The sequence below is a fragment of the Homo sapiens genome, chromosome 16, assembly GCF_000001405.40.
Source record: "Homo sapiens chromosome 16, GRCh38.p14 Primary Assembly".
NCBI lineage: Eukaryota > Metazoa > Chordata > Mammalia > Primates > Hominidae > Homo > Homo sapiens.
Window position 1 is genome coordinate 63,530,486 of NC_000016.10, and position 18,787 is coordinate 63,549,272.

Below are 18,787 nucleotides of genomic sequence, written 5' to 3' on the forward strand. Positions count from 1 at the left end.
CCTTGTGAGATCCAATGTGATTTTTGAGAAGAATATTTGAGATAATGCACATAAGACCAAAAGCAGAAATTGTTTTAATATCCACATTGTGCCCCACTTTTATGAAGATCTTTAAAATCACTATTGATAAAAGACCATCATCTTACCATATGCCTGGGCGACATCCCCATCCCTTTTCTTGTATCTTTTCTGTTATCTTAAATGTCAAGCATAGATTTCAAAATCAATACCTAAATGTATTTGGTGCAACACTGTAAAATTTAATTTGTCTTTCTGATGGAAAAGGAGAACAAAATAACACTCCCTCTTCCCTACTCCTGGCCCCCACTTATTTGTCCTTCTGATCAATAGTAGTCTTGATTTCCTGGTCTTGAAGCCTAATTCTAATTTACTCTCCTGTGTTCTCCCAAATCTACAGTTTACCATTCCATTGACGTCCCACCTGCCTTTTCTAATCACAAGCCAGTAGTTTGATGACAGAAAGAGCTAGTGACCTTCTCTGATATAGGTCCCTTAGAAAATTCTCTTCTGGGGTTAGTGCAAGTGACAAGACAAAATTCACAGCCATTGCTACTAATGACATCTAGCAGCAGCATTAAAAAAGGAAACCTCTTCGCACAGCTAACAAAGGTCATCCAGAAAACACCAGTGCTAGCTTGCAGTGAACACCAGAGTCGCTGCCCATCATAAACCCAATTACTCACTCCTGCTGTGTCTCGGGGTATCTGTAACTACTCACCAGCAACCATCCTTGGACTGTGGCCACCAATCGTGCCATTGTACTAAAGTCAGGAGAGAGATTTCTTTCTGTGCATTGACCTAAAAGGAAAAAAATAAATTTAAAAAAATACTGAACCTCCCTTCTGCAATAAAACAAAATGGCTTTCATTGTTCTGCCACATCTTGTCATTCAGACTTAGGATATCACTCCAGCTGATGCTGAACCCTAGGTTTTTTAAAATTTGTAAAACAAGGGTAATAATGTCCATAGCAAAAGGCTTTGTAAGCATCAGAGATGATGTATGCAGTGCTTGACACAATGATTGGCACAATGAGAGAGGTTTATTAAGATTGTGATATTATGTGTATTGTGATTTCTCATGTCTTTGTCTTACTGAATAATTTGAAAAAGTGTTAAGACATCCATTTAGTTGTTATTATGAATTGATGTGATTATTTTTACATGTGCTTGTGCTGTGAGGTACTGAGTCCTAGTAAAAGGACTGTCATCACAAAATGTCCCCAGATGCAAACTGTCCATTTAAAATAAGTGGTCACCAATTATTCTCCATTCTTTACCTCAGCCAGCCAAGAACTGAAAATGGACTTGGTTAGAATTACAGAAGGAGTAGTAGAGTCAGTGGGAGAATAATGAGATCCATTTCAAACATTGATCTGGAAGAATCATGAGACTCATCCTAATAACTAAATTCAGAAGTCAGAAGCTAGAGAAAGTTTTCATTTTACTTTAGGGTATAGATTTACAAAACCCTTGTTAGATTGCAAAACCATTTTAACTTATCTGTATATGATAATTTTATTGTTTGAAAATTGTCTCCTTGAGGTTATAGGCACTAACTATCTATAGAGCGTAAGTTAAATGTGGTATTTTCTTTAAGGGATTTTAAAAGTGGAAAACTTAGTGTTTGCTTTGACACTCGTCTGCAACAAATATAAACTTAGCATCTACTTTTTTTTTTATTATACTTTAAGTTTTAGGGTACATGTGCACAATGTGCAGGTTAGTTACATATGTATACATGTGCCATGTTGGTGTGCTGCACCCATCAACTCGTCCTTTAACATTAGGTATATCTCCTATGCTATCCCTCACCCCTCCCCCCACCCCATAACAGGCCTCGGTGTGTGATGTTCCCCTTCCTGTGTCCATGTGTTCTCATTGTTCAATTCCCACCTACTTTGTGTATTCTGTTTGTCCTGGAATTATTACGATAAATAAGTTATAACCTCAGTTTTCAAAATGCTTATAGTACAAAGGGAAGGCAGGCATTGAAACAATTTTTGTTTAATAACACAATTATTATAGCAAAGTGTAATAGTCATGGTTAATAGTGATGACAAAAGGCATCACAGATAGTCAACATAGACATACCTCAGAGGTATTGCAGGCTCAGTTCCAGATCACCACAATAAAGCATATATTGTAGTAAAGCAAGTCACACAGATTTTTTTCTTTTTTGGTGTTTATAAATATCATAAGTCTATTAAATCTACATATAGTCTACTAAGTGTGCAATAGCAGTTTGTGTAAAAAAGTGTACACACCTTAGTTAAAAAATACTTTATTTCTACAAAAGTTCTAACAATCACCTGAGCCTTTAGCATGTTGCATTCATTTTGCTGGTAGAGGGTCTTGCCTCACTGTGGATGGCCACTGTCTGATCAGGATGGTCATTGCTAAAGCTGGAGATGGTTGTGGCAATTTCTTAAAATAAGACAACAATAAAGTTTGCCACATCAGTTGATTCTTTCTTGTCACAAAAATTTTCCCTGTAGCATGTGATGCTGTTTGATAGCATTTTACTCACAGTAGAACATCTTCCAAAATTGGTGTCATTCCTCTCAGACTATGCCACTCTTTGTCAACTAACACTATATAACCTTCTAAATCCTTTGCTTTCATTTCAGCAATATTCACAGCAACTTCACCAGGAGTAGTTTCCATCTTAGACAATTTCTTTGCTCATTCATGAGAAGCAACACCTCATCTATTAAAGTTTTACCATGAAATAGCACCAATTCAGTCATATCTTCAGGCTCCATTTCTAATGCTAGTATTCTGTTTATTTCCAGTACATCTACAGTTACTTCTTCCAGCTGAAGACTTAAACCCCTCAAAGTCATGCATGAAGGTTGGAATCACCTTCTTCCAAAGTCCTCTTAATGCTGATATTTTGACCTCCTTCCATGAATAATGAATATTCTTAATGGCATCTAGAATAGTAAACTATTTCCGGAAAGTTTTCATTGTATTTTGCTTAGATCCATCAAGAAAATTACTACCTATGGCAGCTATGGCTTTACAAAATGTCTTTCTTAAATAATGAGACTTTAAAGTCAAAATTGTTTCTGATACATGGATTGCAGAATAGATTCTGTGTTATCAGACATAAAAACAAAATAAATCTCCCTCTGTATCTCCATCAGAGCTCTTGGTACATTATCAATTAACAGTAATATTTTGAAAGAATTTTTTTTTTAGCAGTAGCTCTCAACAGTAGGCATAAAATATTCAGGAAACCATGTGGTAAACAGATATCCTGTCCTCCAGGATTTGTTATTCCATTGATAGAGCACAGGCAGAGTGGAATTAGTATAATTACTAGGGGCCTTAGGATTTTTGACATGGTAAATGAACACTGGCATTGACTTAAAATCCCCAGCTGCATTAGACCCTAACAAGAGAGTCAGTCAGTCCTTTGAAGACAGGCATTGACCTCTCCTCTCTAGTTATAAAAGTCCTAGTTGGTATCTTTTTCTCAATAGAAGACTGTTTCATCAACATAATCTTAGCTAGATCTTCTGGATAACTTGCTGTTGCTTCTATATCAAGATTTGCTGCTTCACCCTGCACTTTTATGTTGTGTCTATAGCTTCTTTCTTTAAACTTCGTGAATCAACCTCTGCTAGCTTCAAAAATTTCTTCTGCAGCTTCCTGACCTCTTAGTCTTTATAGAATTGAAGAGAGCCAGGGCCTTGCTCTGGATTAGATTGTTTTGTTTTAAGGAATGCTTTGGCTGGTTTGATCTTTTATCCGGACCACTCAAACTTTCTCCGCATCAGCAATAAGGTTATTTTGCTTTCTTTAACTTGTATGTTCACTGGAGTAGCACTTTCAGTTTCCTTCAAGAATTTTTCCTTTGCATTCACACCTTGGACAACTGATTGGACCAGAAGGTCTAGTTTTTGTCCTGTATGGGTTTTTGAAATACCTTCCTTACTAAGCTTAATTGTTTCTAGCTTTTGATTAAGAATGAGACACGTGACTCTTCTTTTCACTTTGAACACGTGGAGGCCATTGTAGAGTCATTAATTGGCCTAATTTCAATACTGTTGTGTTTCAGGAATTAGGGAGGTCTAAGGTATGACAGAGAAATGGAGGAACTGCTGATTGGTGGAGCAGTCAGAACACACACGATATTATTGACAAAGTTCACTTTCCTACATGGGCACAGTTTGTGATGCCCCACCAAACGATTACAATATTGACATGAAAAATCACTGATCACAGATCACCATAAATGTATAATGATAATGAAAAAGTTTGAAATATTAAAAGAATTATAAGAATTTTACTCAAAGACACAAAGTGATGACAGGCTGTTGGAAAATTGGTGCTAATAGACTTGCTTGATGCAGGGCTGCCATAAACCTTCAATTTGTAAAATAATGCAATATCTTTGAAACACAATAAAGTGAAAAACAATAAAATGAGGTATGCCTTTGTTTGGTAAGAGAGTTAAAAAGCAGATAGAATTTCACCAGGTTTACAATTTGGATGACAGATTCGGAGGTTTTAGATGTTTTATGTGGTGCAAAAAAAAAAAAGAAAAAAAAGAAAAAAAAATCTTTACATGTTCTTTTCTTCTCCTTTTGGAAAACTACAAAGACTCTATATATCCAGGGTGGTAGTTAGGGAGTTAGCAAAGACTAGAACAGAAAGAGGCAGCTACCAGGACAGTCTGAGATTCTGACATTAGCAGAAAGGAAAAAAAGGAAAACCAAGTTACCAAGAAGGAACTGAGAAATAACCCACAGTGGAAAGTAGAATGATCTATGGCTTTTTTTCCACTATATTATTTCTCAACATCATAATCGTCTTATATATTCAGATCCATAGGGGTCTTTGACTTTTCCTAAAAAAGTTGATTTTGACAGCATTTAAACAATGTTTTATAGTGACAACTCAGGGCCCTCTAGGAAAGAATATCATGTTATCTACATGAGCATGTTTCTAAACTGGTAAATGACAGGAATTCCTATCCTGTGCCTCACATCGTGCACTGCCTATGTTGGTAATTATATGCTATTCTCTCTTATGAGACTAAGACATTCAAGGGTAAGAGTACTATTTTATTTACTTTGAATGAACATCTTGGGGTGATCACTAAAATTGTTTTTAGTATCAGTGCATGCCCGGAGTCTAAGAATCTTGGAATAAGTGGAGATTTCTGAGACAAGGTGTTCATTTCAAAATGATAGGGGATATCACAGCTAAGGTTGCTACAGAAGGTAATTCCAACATGGTACTCTAACAGGAGGGGTGGAAGGTGTAGTCAGGGGAAATTTAGAATGTCACACAATGGAAGAATCAGAAATATTTTCAAGAAGCACTACAAATCAATTGTGATAAACTAGGGCTCCAGCAAGTACCAGAAGGCTGAATCTGACAATATCAGGTTAAGAACAATTATCATTGCTCCTAACAACACTAACTACAACGTAAGGGGCCTGAGTTTAGACTTTGTAGGACATAATTCAAATCCTGGCTTTTTCATATTATTGTTTCATACCCGTGAACAGCTATTTAATATAACTAAGCTTTAGGTTCCTCAACTGTAAAAAAAGAGAGACATATATTTATTCTTCAAAGTGATTGCAATGATTTGTTGGGATTATGTCTCACATAATATATGGATCTTATCCCTGCTCTTTCTTTCATGCTGAGATAGAGAACTACACACAGTCCCACATCTAGGTACCAAGGCAGGTCTCTAGTAAGTGTTGAATTGAGCTTTAATATAGTGCATAGTTTGTGCTAAACCTTTAATTAATACTTGATACAGCAAATGAAATGATATAATCACTTTTCAATGTTAGGAAGCCATAGATGATTCAGGTTTACTGATAATTTCATTAAAAACAAATGCCATTGAAATAGATTACTCCATTCCTCTCTTTTTATAGAGGAACAAGGACAGAGATTAAGCATGTAGACAGAGCAAGGCTAAAAATTATACTGTGGCAATAGATTTTTAATTGTTCTCTTTTTACATTTTTCTCTTTAAGAGTTAAGTTGAATAGATAATCCAAGAGGTCCTTAGGGTAATATTTATTCTTTGTTTGGCTCCAAATAATTCAATGACTGTTCTTTCAGATCTATGGTTTTCAAAATGTTTTATGCAATAACACACAACATATCTCAGGGTGGTGTTTTGTTTGTGTGTGGTGTGTGCCTGTATACAAGAGTATTTTTTCTGCATATATTCTCCACAGATGCAGATTTATTTGATTTGAAGTAGAATAAACACATGTGGATTTTCACATGGAACAAAGGGAATTGGGAGGCAGGGTGTTTGTCTTCCTATTTGAGAAATACTATTTGCATTCAATCCTTTACTTTTCAATAATTTATCCAGTAAAATTATTTTAAAGTAATAATATAATAAACATCTGAGTGCCACAGCCTGACTAAATAAAATGGTAAGATTTTGCCATTGGCTTCATGGTTATTAAAATGGAATTGTGATTTCCTTTGTAAATTCTCCCTGATTCTATTCCCATCTCCCTACTCAAATGTAATCAATCTCCTAATGTTTTTCTCTATTCCATTCCTACAAATGTTTATTATACTATTATTATTTATTTATGCAGCTATAATCTATGTTTGCAGTTGCTTTTCATGTTCTCAGACTTTATATAATGTTATCATACAGCATGAATCATTCAGCATTTTGCTTTTTTTAGTAAATATTATAATTTGGGGATACTGGTGCACACATTGCCAGTTCATTCACTTCAATTACAGCACAGGATTCTGGTCCATGAATATCTCATACTTTATTTATCTGTATCCAATTGATGTGTATTTAGTTCCAATTTTTGCTGTTAAAAACAATGCTGCAATTAAACCCTCTGGTATATGTTTTTCTAAATGTATTCCTAGAAGTCACAGATTTTCTGGATGTCACTCTTTAAAATTACTTGGAAAAACAGTGAGAATTTTGGGCAATTTACTTAATTTGACCTGGCTCAATTTCCTTGCCTAAAAAATGAGGGTAGTAAGTCCTATAAGATTTAATTAAAAACTAAATGGTCATCTTTTGTGAAACATTAGCAAATTATGATAACAAATGGTCTCTCTCATTTTTTCTTTCTCATCCTAAATTGTATCTATAGACAGAGAACTGAACACACAGGGCTGCCACTGAGGCATTCAGCATTTCATGTGTTTATCTAAGTCAGAGAAGTCACCCATATAAATGAGAAACATCTGCATTCTGTCTGAGTTTGTCTGACTAACTTTTACATTGATATTCAAAATCATCATCTTTGAATTTCTGATTTTGTGACCCACACGTATGGGTGGTGTGTCTGTGTTTCTCTGATTTTCAAAAAGAAAAAGAAAACAATGCTACTGAATCTTATTTCTTATTCTGTTCCATCTCTCCTCCTCTATTTTACATTCATTTGCTTGTCCTTGCTGAGGCTTCTCAGGCTTTTCAACCAAATGCAAACATTAAATGAAGGTTTTCCTGCAATTTCAAAGCAAAGAAATTACCCTAAAGGGAGAGAAGGTAATTGTTGATTGTCCACAAACATAGTGAGGCTCAGCATGCATATTTGGAAGGAGAAAGGGAGGTCTGAGCTAAGAATAAGAGTGCAGGACAGTGGTGCTGCCTGATACAAGTTGTTAGGACAGGGTAGGGAGAAAATCAAAGAATAAAGATGATATTCTTAATATGTATGTAGATAGCTCCGTCATGAGAACCTTGTCTCCTTCACAAGACAGAGCACAAAACTGCCTATGTTTGGGGATTTCAAGGTTATAAGAAGGGCCAGTGTCACACTTCATTTACCCCTGCCTCAGATAATCTTGTGTTCTGTCTGACTGTTGATCCTTGATCCCTTCCCCATCATGACACAGCCTATGTTTTAGCCACCAAACTAAAAATTATATGCATAATTTTACAGAATGCGCATTTTTAGAAAATGCATATAGCATAAATATAATTTTCCCTTTGGCCCAGAAATTCTACATCCCTAAATATAAATATATAATAATGCTGTAAAACCAGGAGAAATATTTATATGATAAGATATTTATTTCCACATTCTTTAGAACTGAAAAAAAGTGGAAATCATTAAATGCATGATAACTAGGCAATAAATAACCTAAGTAGCATATATCTATGTTAGAGGATATTATAGTGCCTTTAAATTGAACTTTATAAAAAATTTAGAATTTGTGAACATGGGGAAAAGCTTCTCACATCAAGAAAAGGAAGCAAAATATAATAATAATGCAAGAGGATTTCAACTGAGTAAATACTCAAACTACAAATAAAGTAGGCAGGCGAGGTGCAGTGGTTCACACCTGTAATCCCAGCAGTTTGGGAGGCCAAGGCAGGAGGACTGCTTGAGCCCAGGAGCTTGAGACTAGCCTGAACAATACAGTGAGTCCTCATCTCTAAAAAAAAATTTTAAAGATTAGTCAGGAGTGGTGGTGTGCCCCTGTAGCTCCAGCTACTTGGGAGGCTGAGGCAGGAGGATCACTTCAGCCCCAGGAAGCAGAGGTTATCATGAGTCTGTGATTGTACCACTGCACTCCAAAAGAAAAGACCCTGTCTCAGAAAACAAAAAGTACATAATATAAATGAGGGATGAAAATAAAAGCAAAAATGTAAATATTTTGTTTTACTTTTAATACTAAATGCATTTGTCTTCATATTTTTGTGTATTTTTATTCTATTGCCACAATAGGTATATGCTGATTTCACAGACAGAAAAAAAGTCTAAGTTATTGTGAAAATAAAGTATTGCCATTATTTATGGATAGTTTTATTGTGAGATGAGATAACTTGAACAGTATCCAAAAAAAAAGAAAAAGAAATATATTTCTTCACAGGTTGTCCGGCCACAAAGCCAGTCAAATGATTGGAATTTGACAGCCTCATTTATAAAGTGAGGCTGTATAACCAGATCTGCCCATGGGTCTACCCCCACTAGATTCATGGTCTACAGAGGTCCTAGGGGAAAAACGCACAGATAAGGGTGAGGATGTTTTACAGACATTCATTATTAAACAATGATCCACACTGTGCCAAAGCAGTCTTACTTTTTTTTTTTTTTTTTATGTGGGGTAAAAGGGCATGTTTTATTGCCCCTAAAATTTCTCTCTGGCCTAAAGATGTTGAACAGATGCAGAGCAGAGGGAGTCTCCCTTGAGTGGGCTTCTTCAGCAAGTGGTGTGGAAAATGAGTGAGCTTTCAAGTGAAACTGGTAATTTGAAAGAATGTCGGATGTCTCTTAATCTGCTTCCTAAAATTTTAAGTAAAATAAGCATCACTCTTCTTATGGGGCTGCTTTGAAGAATAATATGGATGACATCTGTGAAATACCTTTAAAGCATGGTTTGCAATGGAATCAAAACTTTGCCAACTAGTGGCAAGCATTCTGCTCTTTCTGTTTCCATTGGAGGAAAGGATTATGCAATATGCAATTTGAGAACACAAATGAGCTAAAATAGTAAACAAGGAATAAGGGTGAAAGGTGGCAAATCATAACATTAAGAGAAAACAAGTAAGCAAAAACAACAATAATAAAAACAGTCACTTCCAATTACTGTTTACTGACGCAAAGTGATTTCTAGTTACCAATCATAATTTAACTTGCTGTCAAAAGATTAGAAAGACCCCATAATAACTAATATGGTTTCCCTCTTGTTATGAACCCAATGTTGACAGAAAGCCTCTTGAGTACTATGAGGCAGGCACAAAGATATTCGTTTCAGAATTGCTTTAGTAGTGAAACTCTGGAAACTAAATGCCTATCAAAAGAGGAATAGAAAAAATATAATTGCTATATTACTGTATTGACAGCTACATGGTGGGCAAAAGCCATGGGTTAGGCCTCTAGAGCAAGGGGTAGATGTGAACCTCTATGTCATATATGAATAAAAATATTCGCTATCTCCAGAAATTATGTTTATCTCAGAAACAACACACATGAAAGAATTCAAGGGCTGTAAGACCTTTGCACTCTCTGGGAATTTGAAAGGTAGTAATTAGTAATAATATATAATATGTATGAGATATAGGTAACAACATCATTACCACCAATCACGACAATAACAGTAACAATAATGATAATAAAATAATATATAACTAACAATCTAAGGAGTGTAAGAAAATAAAAGTAATAGGTAAATCTAAAGAAGGGCAGAAAAGAGAAAATAAATAAAAACAAAAAAATTTGGAACAAATAAAAACATATAATTGAAGTACTTTGAACACAAATGTTGTAAATCCAAGCTTTTCCGGTGGGCGCAGCAGCTCACGCCTGTAATCCCAGCACTTTGGGAGGCCAAGGCGGGCGAATCACAACGTCATGAGTTCGAGACCAGCCTGGCCAAAATGGTGAAACCCCATCTCTACTAAAAATACAAAAATTAGCTGGGCATGGTGGCACATGCCCGTAATCCCAGCTACTCAGGAGGCTGAGGCAGGAGAACTGCTTGAGCCTGGGAGGCAGAGGTTGCAGTGAGCCAAGATTGTGCCACTGCACTCCAGCCTTGCAGACAGAGTGAGACTCTGTCTCAAAAATAATAATAATAATTTTTAAAAATTAAATAAACAAATAAATAAATAAATCCAAGCCTTTCCAACCCGAGGCCCACAGGCCACATGCGGCCCAAGATGGTTTTGAATGTGTCCCAAGAGAAATTCATAAATTTTCTTAAAACATTATGTTTCTTTTTTTTGTAATTTCTTTTAGCTATTGTTAGTGTTAGTGTATTTTATGTGTGGCCCAAGACAATTGTTCTTCCATTGTGGCCCAGGGAAGCCAGAAGGTTGGACACTCCTGAATTATACCAAATACTTGTAATTTCTCCAGTTAAAAGACAATGAATGGCAGTCTAGATTCTAGATAAATAAACAACATAATGACATATTGTTTATAAGAAACAAAATTTAAGTATAATAACAAAAAGTTTTTAGATTTAGATATGCAATGCAGAGATTAACATAAAATTACACAAATGTGCTAATATTAGAAAAGTTATCCTTTAAGGCAACACATATTGCAGGATGTACAGAGAGGCATTTCATGATGTTAAAAGAACAAATCTATCAGACAGATATAATAATCTAAAAATTTATTTGCTCATAATTTAAAATATAGGAAAGAAACCTTCACTGACCTAAAAGGAAAAATAGAAAAATTCATACTCTTAGAAAAATAAGTTAACATATCTCTATAAATATTTGATGAATTAAAAAGACAAAAAAAATTTAAGATCATAAAATAGTAGCACAATAATTAATGCAGTTTACATAACTGACATATATATTTTGTATTTTATTTATTTATGTTTTAGAGATGGTGTCTTACCCTGTCACCCAGGCTGGAGTGCAGTGGCACAATCATGGCTCATTGCAGTCTTGAACACCTGGGCTTAAGTGATTCTCCCCACTTGGCCTCCTGATAGCTACGACTACAGGTGCTAGTCATTATTCCCAGCTATACCTGATATATATAGAACATTGCAAAGAATAACTGCAAATGCATATCCTTATCTACTGTATTTAGAAATATTATGAAAACTGGCTATATGCTAGACCATAAGCTAAGGCCGAACACATTTTAAAAGTCTAAAATTATGCGTAGTTTAACATCCTAACACAATATAATTAAGTTAAAATCAGTGATAGAAATATACCTAGAAAATTCCCCAATATTGAAGATTAAGCAAGAACATTCTGAAGGACGCATGGATCACAAAAAAAAGTCACGATAAAAATCAGAATGACTGCTAGATATATTAAGAGGAATGAAATAAAAATCAGAGCAGGAACAAATGAAGTAGAGACTATGTATCTAAAAGGAAAACTCTGGGAAAACAAAATTGGATGGCTATTGGTTGTGAAAGAAAGAAAAGACAAAAATTACCAGCATCAGGAATGGGAACATCAATAAAATCCTAAAGACATTTAAAACCTATAAAAATTTTTATGGCTAATATGATACTTTATTTGAAAAACATCAATGCCAAACTGACACAAGAAGCAGAAAATCTGAAGAGACTATATTTAGTAAGCTAATATAATATTTAAGTCAGACTTTTCCTACTAATAAAATTCCAGATCCAGATGGCATTACTTATGAGTTACTCAAATAGTTAAAATATAAATAGCACCAGTCTTAAACAAAATTATACAGTGTGTAGCATATATGTATTGATTCAAATACCAGAGTCGTTGGAAGAATAAAAATTTCCAAGTCAATGTCTCATATGCACATAATTGGATATATCTTGATAAAACATTAAAAATGAACACTGTATTATCTAAACAAGATGATATACAATATGGCAGTAGGGATTGTTTCCATTTGAATTTCAGTCAATGCAATTTACCACATACCAAAAATGTGCTTAGTTCAAACCATTTGAAAAAGCATTTCATGAAATTCACCACCCATTTATGAATAAGCTCCACATGAACTGGAAATAAGAGGAAAATTAATCTGATAAAGAGATGCTACAAGCACCAAACACTTTACAGATAACATTGTACTTAATGGTAAATTATTGAAAATTTTCCCAGAGACTGGGAAATAGAAAAAGGATTCCATTACTGCTACTTTATAAAAAAAAATGTTATCAGATAATCTAACCAATATAATAAAACATGAAAAAAATATGTATATGTCTATTTCTATCTATCTCTATTGACAGATAAAAATAGACAGAGATGGGAAAGACAGAAATTAAGAACTCCATTATTTACACAATTAGGTATTCCATTTCCATGCACTAGCAACAAGCTATCAGAATATGAAATGGAAAAAGAAAGGGTAACTGTTGCAATAGTATCAACGTAACATCAAACACTCAAGGAAAATGTAATTTTTAAGATATGCAATACCTTTACAAAGCGAAAGAGAAAGACAGAACAAAGAAGACTAAAATAAAGTAATAAATATATAATAGGCTAGAATAATCTATTTTTAAAAGACGTAATTCTCAACAAGGATTTTTATGTTTTGTTTTGTCTTTTTTGTTTGTTGTGCATCCACTAGTTGTTTTACATTTTATATGCAAATGAAATGAGTAACAACCAAGATCCTTATAAAGCACGTTGCTGGATAACTTAAACTATCAAATATCAAGACAATATAAAGACATACTAATTAAGGCAGTAGTGTAACATGGTCTAAAGTTAAACATAGAGCATAGACACATCAGAAGCACACCCACATGTGTACAGTAAAATGATTCACAACAAATGTATCACTTCAGAGCATTAGAAATATGGATGTCCTTTCAATAAATAGTAAACATGCACTTGTGTATTTGTATTAGACAAAATGAATTTATTAAATTTATACTCCTACCACATGTCATAAACAAAATAAATACCAGATGGTTTATAGATCTAAATGTGAAAAGTGGAGCAATAAGGATTCTAGAAGGCAACATATAGAATAATTAACTCACTACTTGGGATGGGCAAAAACTGCTAACACATAGTGAATTTTATGGTGCTAACCATAAAAGGAAAGTGAACTACATTAAAAATAAAAATTTCAGCTTGTATCAAAAGATGCCTTTAAGGAATGAGAATGGGAGCCACCAAGTAAGAAAAGACATTTGCAAAGCATATATTTGGCAAAGGTCTCCTATCTAGAATATATATACTCATACATATATGAAACTCTCACCAATAAAAAACATAAATGCAAAGCAGTTGGAAAAGGACAAAGAAAAAGAAGGAGGGAGAAGGGAGGGAAGACATTGGTAAGTTCTTGAGTGCCATTTTACAAAAATTGTATAACTACATGTTCAACAAATAGGTGAAAAGTTTCTCAATGTCACTGATCTACAGAGAAATTGAAATTAAAAATACAATAAATTTACATGACTAAACCACTTGCATGACTAAAATTAATATAATTCTAAGCATGTGAGGATATGGAGCAATTTCAACTTTCATCTTGGAATAACGACTTTAGAAATGTGTTTGAGATTATCTTTTAAAATCAGACATATGAGATCTAGCAACACGACTTACATTTAGAAGCTAGAGAAATACTTAAGTACCACAAAGGCATATACAAAAATATTTATAGCAACGATATTCATAATAGTCCCAAATTTAAAAGTGTTTATCAAGAATATAAAATAGATAAATAAATGGTGACATATACATATAATATATACAGCTATGAGAATGCAGAATCTAATATTATATGCAATTATAAATATAAATCTCATGAATATAAGGTTGTGTGAAAGAGACTAAACACAAAAGAGCAAACCCTGTATCATGTGATTCAGGCAGGCTCCTTGAGTTCTGTTATGTTCATGGTTTTGGTAACATGTGTTTCTGTTGTGTTTCCTTTTTGTAATAAATTAGCAAGCTGTATACTAAGGCTTCTGTGTTTTATTTTATGTAATATTTCAAATAGTTTACCTAAAAAGTGAAACCACATGTAGTACAAAATATGTGGATCAAATTTAAGAAGATGTATAAACAAATGTTTAAAATGTTTTGAAGAGTCACATACCATTTGAAAGGTCAAGTGTTGCCTCCAGTGATAATTTGGCTAGAAAATATGTTAAGACTTTTGATGCTTTAAGTTGCAGTAATATGAACAGTTTGCATGCAATAATTTGGGGTTGATATGTTAGCTGAGAGACTAAAATCCTAAGAATATGATCAATACATCTTGAATCTGTGATGAAGGTAGTCTACTTAATATTTTTGAGCAATTTTCTCATTTATACGATATTACTAATGTTTCAAAATTTATGGAGCTATAATAAGCAAAAGGAGAAGTTATGAGTTTAGGATCCTATATGTTAGGCAGCACTGGGATCATTATTGTTGTTCTCAATGAAAATGTTTTTCAAAGGTAACCTTGAGTTTTCTTTCCAAAACTGACATGTGGCATTTTGAATCTCTTTGACAATAGCCAGTCATCAAAAATATGAGAACGGCTCTTTTTTTTTTTTTTTGTAATAGCTAAGGACAGTGAATTGTTGTGAACTGGTACTTGGACCACTATGTAATATATTTTAGTTACTCATTAATAAGTTAATTAAACAATGTGTAAAACAAAACTAAAACAAAATGAGAATATATTTCTGATTGTGGTTCTAACCTGACTCTGAATTCCAAGACATTTAATAATTTCTTGAAACCCAAGATGAATTCCAGAAAGTATTTGTGTCTCTTTGATTGACTATTTAGGATAGATATGTATTGATATATTTGGCATATTGACATACAAAATACACTGCTATATAGTTTGGATATAGTATATTGTATCTGAAATTTCACACATTTTGACATTAAATAATAACTGAATTGTCATTTCTTCCTTTTCTAGATTTGTGATTTCGTTTAAGTTCCTTAAATACTCTGATGCTCAGCTTTACAACTCTAAAATGATTCTATTAACAAATAATTTGCAGAATTTGTGTAGGTCCATAAACTAATCTGTAGTTATATAAAGTAGAGATGGGTTTAACTCTGATTGCTGAAATTGACTAAGTAATATTTTAATCCCTTCAATCATCATCATGTGATGAAAGTAAAGCTCCACTCCAAAATCATTCAATGAAACTTACATTATTATATTCTTATTTATATTTGGATATTCTTACATATTTTCTTATAAGTTATTGTTAGGTTGGTGCAGAAGTAATTGAGGCTTTTGTCATTACTTTTACTGGCAAAAACCTCAATTACTTTTTCATCAACCTACCTTTCAATGTACTTTTCAATGGTACAAAAAAATTGGTCAGGCTAGCAAAATGGAGGATTATTAACAGCAACAACAACAAAAAAATACAATAAGGGAGCTGAAGATACCCTTGTTTATTTTTAGTCTAAACTGCTCATCTTATAAATGAAAAAGCTGAGGCCTAATGCCACCCAGTGATCAGGATGGCAGATGATTCAATTTGATGATGTTGAAGAGAAGTCGAGACTTTTTTTTGTATCATTAATGAATTATCCTTGATTTTATTGTATTCAAACATTTTTAATAGATCTGAAAGAACTCTATTTATCAGGGTGGTACAATGGAAAAATACATGATGAATTTTATTCTCTGTATAATAGTCATCCGTATTTGGATTTTATGGAAGTATTTATTTATTTATGTAAACATTATTTTTTAGAGAAGTTTTAATTTCACAGAATAGTTGAGTGGAAAACAGAGTTCCCATATGTGTCCTCACCCTACATGTGCAACCTCCCCACCATCAACATCATGCCCCAGAGAGTACAGTTGTTGGAACTGATGACCCAACATCACCACATCATCATCCTGAAGTCCTTAGTTTATATTATGGTTTACTCTGTGTTGTACATTCCATGGGTTAGAGAAATATACAGTTACATGCATCCACCATCCCTAGTATCATACAGAACACTTTTGCTGACCTAAGTGTCTCCTGTGCTCCACCTATGCATCCCTCCCACTCTACAAATTACTGATAACCATTACTATTTTTACTGTCTCCATAGTTTTGCCTTTTCCAGAATATCATAGAGTTGGAATCATATAGTACGATAGGCTTTTAGATTGGCATTTTTCACTTAATGATACGCATTTAATTTTCTTCTATGTCTTTTTACAACTTAATAGCTCATTTATTTATAGTCCCGAATAATATTTCATTGTCTGGAATGTACCACAATTTACTTATCCATTTGTCTATTGAAGGAAATATTTGTTTCTTACAGGTTTTGGCGATTAAGAACAAAGCTGCTACAAACATCTATACACAAGTTATTGTGTGGACATAAGATTTCAGTTCCTTTGGATAAATACCAAGGAGCATCACTGCTGGATCATATAGCAAGAGTATCTTTTGTTTTATTAATAAAACTCCCAAACTGTCTTCCAAAATGGCATATTTAACAGCAATGAATAAGAATTTCTATTGCTCCACATTTTCACTAGCAGTCGGTGTTTGCGGTGCTTTGGATTTTAGCCATTTTAATAGGTGTGTAGTGATATCTAACTGCTGTTTTATTTTAATTTATTTTTATTTTTTTGAGATGGAGTCTTGCTCTGTCGCCCAGGCTGGAGTGCAGTAGGGCGATCTCAGCTCACTGCAAGCTCTGCCTCCCAGGTTCACGCCATTCTCCTGCCTCAGCCTCCCAGTAGCTGGGACTACAGGCGCCCACAACCACGCCTGGCTTTTTTTTTTTTTTGTATTTTTAGTAGAGACGGGGTTTCACCGTGTTAGCCAAGATGGTCTCGATCTCCTGACCTCAGGATCTGCCCTCCTCAGCCTCCCAAAGTGCTGGGATTACAGGCTTGAGCCATCGTGCCCGGCCCCTAACTGGTGTTTTAATTTCAAAATCTCTAAAGATGTATGATGTTAAGCATCTTTTCACATGTTTCTCTGCTACCTGTATATCTTCTATAGCAAGGTGTTTGTTCATATATTTTTCCCATTTTAAAATCAGATTATTTTCTTATTGTTTAGTTTCAAGAGTTTGTACATACATTTTGGATAATAGTTCTTTATAAGATAGATCTTTTGCAAATATTTTCTCCCATTCTGTGGCATGTTCCTTTTCTTTTGACAGTGTCATTCGGTTTGCTTTTAAAAAAAAAATGTAATAACGTTCAATTTATCAATTATTTTTTCCATGGATAATGCCTTTGGTGATGTATCTAAAAACACATTGACAAACCAAATATCATCTGGATCTTCTCCCACATTGTCTTCTAGGTGTTTCATTGTTTTGCATTTTACATTTAGTTCTATGATGCATTTTGGGTGCTTTACTTATTTTTTGGTCTGAGTTTTTTCAAAGGATGAGTCTCGATGTCAAAAACCTCCACCACTCTGTAAAGTTATTAGGAATATTCACCAGTGACAATTAGGAAGGAAGTAATTTCTTTCACTCATTGAATATCCAAATGGAATCTGGTAACATACTGAATCATATGGGAGAAGAGTCAGAAATCTTAGAATACATCATCTGGAAAGAGAGCTGGCAAACTGTTCCTCTTTGATGGAAATGCATTTAATGCATCATTAACAGGTATTATAGAAGGCAGATACAAATGAATGTCTTTATCAAATAAGCTTTGAAAAATGTTAACTAATATGCAACATATGCCTTTACCTTCAGGATTTTTAAACCCTTTAATTTATTAATGATTCTTGTAATTTTTCAAATGGGCATTACCCAGAGTTTCCCCAAACTCATTTTACTGAATAAATACTACTTTTTCTTAATAAGTTAGTGTTTTGAGTAGAAAACAACTTTATTTAACAGACAAGGAAATAAGCTCAAGATAAAACATTCAGCATTAAGCCAAAAGTCATCTAGCTAGTTATGGGAACATCGGGGTTGGCACAAACTGGATGAGTAAAAATCAGTGTCAATTTTATTTCTATATCTTTCTCTTTTAAAAAATAGACTCATTAAATAAGTGATCACAGAGCATACATTGGGATGTACTAGGAATGGAGGAATGATATCATAATGCTCATACCTTGAAATTGAGCCCTAATGTGCTAATAGAAATAATTTCTATCATAATATAAGTGATTCTTTTAAGACTGACTGAGTGGCTGTTCTAATTTTGGGGAGTTTATGTTTTCATGCATACATTGCTAACTCTAGCCTTTTATAATTGGTACAGTATCAAGACAGTGTTGCCTATGTTGTTTGGGGTCTTTCTTGACTTGCCCCAGTGTTCTCACCTACAATAAGTATATTTAGACTGCTCTATTTTCCTGCTGACTTTGTATTCAGATACTATTTTTGTGATTATCAATTCTGCA

At 33.9% G+C, this 18,787-nt stretch overlaps 1 long non-coding RNA gene across 3 annotated transcripts in view; it reads right to left on the reverse strand.

Moving 5' to 3' along the window:
• LOC105371308 (uncharacterized) overlaps positions 1 to 18,787 on the reverse strand; it is a 512,336-nt gene that overhangs the window by 424,775 nt on the left and 68,774 nt on the right. For all 3 annotated transcript variants that reach the window (XR_001752232.2, XR_007065221.1, XR_007065220.1), the window contains exon 2: positions 740 to 819. This is a non-coding gene — a long non-coding RNA (uncharacterized LOC105371308). The remainder of the gene's footprint in view (positions 1 to 739; positions 820 to 18,787) is intronic.